The sequence below is a fragment of the Homo sapiens genome, chromosome 15, assembly GCF_000001405.40.
Source record: "Homo sapiens chromosome 15, GRCh38.p14 Primary Assembly".
NCBI classification, from domain to species: domain Eukaryota; kingdom Metazoa; phylum Chordata; class Mammalia; order Primates; family Hominidae; genus Homo; species Homo sapiens.
In genome coordinates this window covers 60,304,743-60,311,243 of record NC_000015.10, presented here as the reverse complement: position 1 = coordinate 60,311,243, position 6,501 = coordinate 60,304,743, and the positions used below count along the sequence as shown (strand labels likewise).

The following is a 6,501-nucleotide window of genomic DNA, read 5'->3' as shown; positions in this document are numbered from 1 at the left end:
ATGACCTCAAAATCAAGCACATATGCGTTCATTAGCCAGGTCTTAGACATAGGACTTTGTTAATTCCCCAGATATTCCCTGTGTTCTTTTCTGATCTCTTCTGCCTCTCTACCTCCTATAGGTAATAACTATTATCCTGAATTTCATGTTAATTATTAACCTGCTTTTCCTTATAGTTTTAAAAAATGCCACCTAAGTATATATCCCATGGCAATAAATTGTTTAATTTGGTCTGGGTCTGAACTTTATATAAATGGAATTGTTCTGTTTATATTCATTTCTGACTTGCTTCTTTTTTTCATTATTATGTTTATGAGATTTATTCTGTTGATATGTATTGCTACGGTTCGTTCATTTTTTCATGGTTGTATAAATCCCATTTTGTGAATACATTATATTTTATTTACTGAATCTATTGTTGATGACTTGTTTCTAGGTTTTGCAATTATAAACAACGCTCCTATGAACATTCTTACCCATAACTTCTGCCACACATGCAAGATTGGCAATAGACTAGATAAAGCTGGAAGTGAGACACCCAGGTAGAATGTATCAGCAGATTCCCCTTTATGAGGCATTTCTAAATGTTTCCTAAAGTAGTTGTACCAGGGGTCGTATCTTTTTTGTTATCCTGGTATCGCTAGCACCTAGGACAATGAATGGCCAAGCACAGTTGCTCCATAGATACTTATTGAATGAAGGTAGAACCACAAACAGCATGTTGTGACAGTCTTTGTCTATAAATTGTTCTGGGCAATAAAGTCAAAGCAAGCACTCTTTCCACCCCAACTGTAGCCTGTAGAATGGGCCTGTAGGCTTGGCATCAGAAGATGTATTTTAATAATAATAATGACAGGAGTGATACAATGGTAATGTCTTATACCACTTAAGGATTCTTGGAAGACCCGGTTAGAATTATGGCTGAAGCAGGTAGAACCTGCTGAGCAAAATGGGTCCCAACTATCCTTTAGAAATTGATATTCTGATCCCAAAGGAGCCGTTGAGTTGTAATTATAGATTGCTGAGGGGCTAGATCTTGTGGAGCTAAGCTGCCTTGGAATGTGAGTTCTTTGTCATCTTCTTCTGGAGCTTGGAGTATATAGGTCTTTAACAGAGGAGAGCCTAATGCTGCTAGAATGGTTGTGAAAGATCACAAATTTACAATGCTACTGTGGGAGAGAGACAGAGATGGACCTTCTGTGTAGCCTAGCACTGCTAAGCCCTGTTCAAATGCAGGTTATAAGTTTAGATAAGACATGAATTTAATCATGTTCTTTGAAATACCTCTCCATAAACCAGTATTTTAGGTATTCCCTGTTATCCAAGCCTTATTTAATAAACTGGCTCTTTAGAATACCTGTTTATTTTGAAATAATTTTATACTCACAGAAGAGTTGCAAAGATACTATGGGGAATTTCTGTATATCCTTCACTCAACTTTCACTAAATTTTTTTTTTTTTTTTTTTTTTTTTTTTTTTTTGGAGACAGGGTTTCGCTCTTGTTGCCCAGGCTGGAGTGCAATGGTGCAATCTCGGCTCACTGCAACTTCTGCCTCCTGGGTTCAAGTGATTCTCCTGCCTCAGCCTACTGAGTAGCTGGGATTACAAGCATGTACCACCATGCCCGGCTAATTTTGTATTTTTAGTAGAGACGGGTTTCTCCATGTTAGTCAGGCTGGTCTCCAACTCCTGACCTCAGGTGATCCTCCCGCCTTGGCCTCCCAAAGTGCTGGGATTACAGGCGTGAGCCACCATGCCCGGCCACCTTTCACTAATGTTAACATCTTACATAACCATGGTACACTTACCAAAACTAAGCAATTCCCATTGATGCAACGCTATTTCAACTATAGACTTTATTCTGATATCACCAATTTTTATACCAACGTCCTTTTTCTTTCCAGAATGCAAACCAAAATACCACGCTGCGTAGACATAGTTGTTTTGTCTCCATAGGCTCCTCCAGTTGGTGACAGTTTCTCAGTCTCCTTGTTTTTCATGACTTGGTCCCTTTAAATGATGTTTTTTGGGTATTTTGTAGAATGTCTCTCAATTTGGGTTTGTCTGACGTTTTCCCGTAATTATACTGGTTTGGAAAGAAGACCACAGATGTGAGCTTCCCTTATCATATCATGCGAGGGGATACAAAATAAAATGACTGATCACTGTGATGTTACCCTTGATCACTTGGTTTAGACGGTGTCTGCCTGATCTCTCCACTATAAAATTACATTTTTTCCCTTTCTGTACTTTATTCATTAGATTTGAGTCTCTAAGACCAGCCTACATTCAGGCAGAAGGGAATTAAACTCCACTTCCTGAAATGAGGAGTATCAGAGAATTTGTGGACATATATTAAAATCACTACAGCAATTAATAAATATTTAGGGGAGATATTTTCAGGCTATGGATATGTCCCTTTTCTCCAAGTTGTTTTTTTAACTATAAGAGAGAAGATAGAACATTCAGAACCCCAAGAACAGAAATTAGTCAAAATAAATTTTTGATAAAAGTAGTTTATTTTATTTTTTACTGAAGGTAATAACATTATTATAGTGATAAAGTAATTACTGTTTATTTTCAGGCCTTTCTCTTCACTCAGAAGTTGAGCAGTTGAAACCCACATGTAGATAAAGTAAGCTTCCCTCATAACCAAGTTCTGTGAATAACCTCCAGTGATGGTTTCCTTCTCTTATTTAATAAGCATTGATGATATCTATTCACAATTTTATTTTGCTTATTTGGGACACTGAAATTTGTCCATATTTTTTCTAAATGAAGAAAATGGCCAAGAATACCTCCAACTTACAATGCAAACTCTTTTAAGGGTTTCCTGGCATAAAAAAAAAAAGCCTTTACACTATGAGCTTGTGAGTCTATACTAACTCCCAGGATCAATGTTGAGGAAAAGTTCTGTTAAAATAATCTTATAGAATTTTTGCCAAAATTTCCTAGAAACCATTAGGTAAATTTTAGAAAATTAGTTTTCTTTGTTTAAAATGTTGGGTTATACGTTTCTTATTCTATTCTGTGTCCAAATCAGAGGTTCCTAACATGGGTTGTCTGAATTCCTTATCGATCTGAGTTCTTATTTGCTAGTCACAGAAACTAACTTTGCTTCTTCAAACCCAAAAAAGGAATCAGTTAAAAGGATATTGGGTATGATTAGAGAATGGGCTTGGAGCCATCTATGCAGCCAGAAATGGTTCCTCCAGTTTGGCTGCAGAACTGATCAACGAAAACACAGCAATGCTGATGATTCAGCCAGATGGATCCTGGGCCATCCCTAGTTCTTTGGGTCACTAGCTTCTAATTCCAGATCTAGGTCAGGTATAAAGCTTGACCTGTTCCTGCACCCTGACTGCAAGGGAAGCTGAGAAAGTGAGTATCTCCTCCTATGGTGGAGAAGGCTCTGACTCCCCAGGCGTGGAGCTCCCCAGGAATAGTAAAAGGGTTCAGATATGGGCAGCTGACATGAATGACAATTATTCACTACAGACCCCTTACGGATGGAATCCCTTAAGCTGTAGATTTCATTTGGTTCTCAAATAAGCCATTCATTCAACATTCCGCAAACATTTATGGAGTACCTACCATGTGCCAGGCACTCTTCTAAGTCCTTGGATTTCATCAATGAACAAAACCAAGATCACTGTTTTTGTGGAGTTTCTATTCTGGCAGGAAAAGCCAATACATCATCCAGACTTGCACCTCAAAACCTCCAGTGGGCTCATGAATTGGTGATACCAGATATTTCTGGAAGTGGCAGTGAATGTAGGACTGAAACATAAGCATTGGTTGAAAAGACTATTTGAGAAGCAATTCGACCTGCATTGTTGAACAGAACTTTTGGCAATGATGAAGACACTCTATTTCTGCACTGTCCAATACAAAAGCTACCAGCCACATGTGGTTATTGAGCACTTGAAACGTGGCTATTTCCTTACTGCAACTGAGGAACTGAATTTTAAATTTTACTTAATTTATGTAAATTTATGTAAAGTACATAGCTACAGTGGCTAGTGGTTACTGTATCAGAGAGCACAGAGTTACATCCTCTGTTCCTTCCCCCACTTGGAATGGCTGGATGATTACCCCTCCCTCAGTGTAACAGAGTTGTGCGGTTTATTCTCTGAACTAAGGGGCACCATGAAGGTAAGAGGATAGGGATATCATATTGAAAAGAGGGGCATTACTTGAATTTGAGAACCTGCTCTTCTCCCAATTGACTTCCAAAATGCTGGCAGCCAGTTTCTACTTCCAGGTATGAGATTAGGAATTTAGTATCTGATAAATCTGACTAGTCCAAAAGAAAAGACCCTGTGTTAACATTGGGAGTTGTCCTATGAAACAATCCAGCCAGATTACCTGGGGTAAGACCCAGAGTTGGCAACCCAACTCATATATCAGAACTTCCAATCAGATTTTTAGTGCTGTAGTCTTAAAGGTGAACAGACAGTTAAGGATCACTAGACATTTGAGGATATCTTCACTCTGAAAGGAAATACAAACACCTAAGAAAAGAAACAAAAAAATAAATTTGAGAAAATAGAGAGAATTCAGAGAGAAGAAAAAAATTAAAGTAAGATAAGAGATGATTTTGCATCCACAAAGCAAGAATAGAATGCTATAATAAAGAAATAATCAGAAGGCCAGGCGTGGAGGCTCACACCTGTAATCCCGCACTTCTTGAGGCTGAGGCAGGCAGATCATGAGGTCAGGAGATCGAGACCATCCTGGCTAACACGGTGAAACCCCATCTCTACTAAGAATATAAAAAAATTAGCCAGCCATGGTGGCAGGCACCTGTAGTTCCAGCAACTCGGGAGGCTGAGGCAGGAGAATGGCATGAACCTGGGAGGTGGAGCTTGCAGTGAGCCAAGATCACGCCACTGCACTCCAGCTTGGGCAACAGAGCGAGACTCCGTCTCAAAAAAAAAAAAAAAAAAAAAAATCAGAAGGACAAAAACTAGAAGGGTCTTGGGAAAAAGTGACACAAATCAGAAGCTCCATATAAAATTTGGAAAATAAGATTGAGGGAATCTTCTAGAAACTAGATAGAATCAGATGGCAAAGAAATGTAAACTAGGATAAAAATATAAGAAAATTAGGTCAGATTAAGAAGTCTAACACCTGAATAACACAAATTCCTCAAATAGAGAATTGAGAAAATTATCAGATAAATAATTCAAGAACATTTCTTAGACTTGAAGGACATGAGTTTTCAGAATGAAAACAACCACCAAGTGCCTAGCAAAATGGATGAAAATAGATCCATATCAACTCACCTGATACGGTTTGGATCTGTGTCCTTACCCAAATATCACGTGGAAATGTAATCTCCAATGTTGCAGGTGGAACCTAGTGGGAGATAATTGAATCATGGGGGCAGTTTCTCATGGTTTAGCACCATCACCCTGGTTCTGTTCTTGTGATGGAGTTATCATGAGATTGGGTTGTTTAAAAGTATGTGGTACCTCCCCCTTCTCTTTCTCCTGCTCTCACCATGTAAGATGGGCCTGCTTCCCCTTCGCCTTCTGCCATGACTATAAGTTTCATGAGGCCTCCCCAGAAACAGATGTTGCCATACTTCTTGTACAGCCTGTGGAACCATGAGCCAATTAAACCTCTTTTCTTCATAAATTACCCAGTCTCAGGTATTTCTTTATAGCAATGTGAGAATAGACTAATACATTACCTGATGATAATATTTATGAACAGTAAGGACAAAGGAGAGGTCCTAGAAGCTTCCAGAGAGCTGAAGGGAAGGTTGTATTCAAAGAATCAGAAATCTGAGTCACTTTGGATATTGTATGTGCTCTCCAACCTAGAATGTGATACCCAGCCGCAATATCAAGTAAGTGTAAGGGTTGAATAACTTTTTTCAGACATGAATGGCCTCAAATATTTTACCTCTCCTACAGCTCTTTCTCATAAAAAATTGAAAGAAATGTTCTTTCAAAACAAAGAAGTAAATAAATGATTATTGTGTTAGTTAATACTGAGTGTCAACTTGATTGGATTGAAGGATGCAAAGTATTAATCCTGGGTGTGTCTGTGAGGGTGTTGCCAAAGGGGATTAACATTTGAGTCAGTGGGCTGGGAAAGGCAGACCTACCCTTAATCTGAGTGGGTACCATCTAATCAGCTGCCAGCACAGCTAGAATACAAAGCAGGCAGAAAAACGTGAAAGGAGTAGACTGGCCTAGCCTCCCAGCCTATATCTTTCTCCTGTGCTGGACCCTTCCTGCCCTCCAACATCAGACTCCAAGTTCTTCAGTTCTGGGACTCGGACTGGCTTTCCTTGCTCCTCAGCTTACCGATAGCCTATTGTGGGATCTTGCAATCATGTGAGTTAATACTTAATAAACTCCCCTATATTATAGGATGTACATATATATCCTATTAGTTCTGTTCCTCTAGAGAACTCTGACCAACACAGTTATGAAGATATAGCATGTCAGAAAAACGGAATTTATTATAATAGGGGTGTGAACACAA

General features: G+C 38.9%; 1 long non-coding RNA gene across 1 annotated transcript; it reads right to left on the bottom strand.

The window, feature by feature from the left end:
- Nucleotides 1–3,701: 3,701 nt before the first annotated feature.
- On the bottom strand, nt 3,702–5,327 carry LOC105370840 (uncharacterized). Its single transcript, XR_932314.3, has 3 exons — nt 5,289–5,327; nt 4,369–4,514; nt 3,702–3,780 (listed from the first exon to the last, which is right to left on the bottom strand). It is a non-coding gene; the product is annotated as an uncharacterized LOC105370840 (long non-coding RNA).
- Between the last annotated feature and the right edge of the window lie 1,174 nt (nt 5,328–6,501).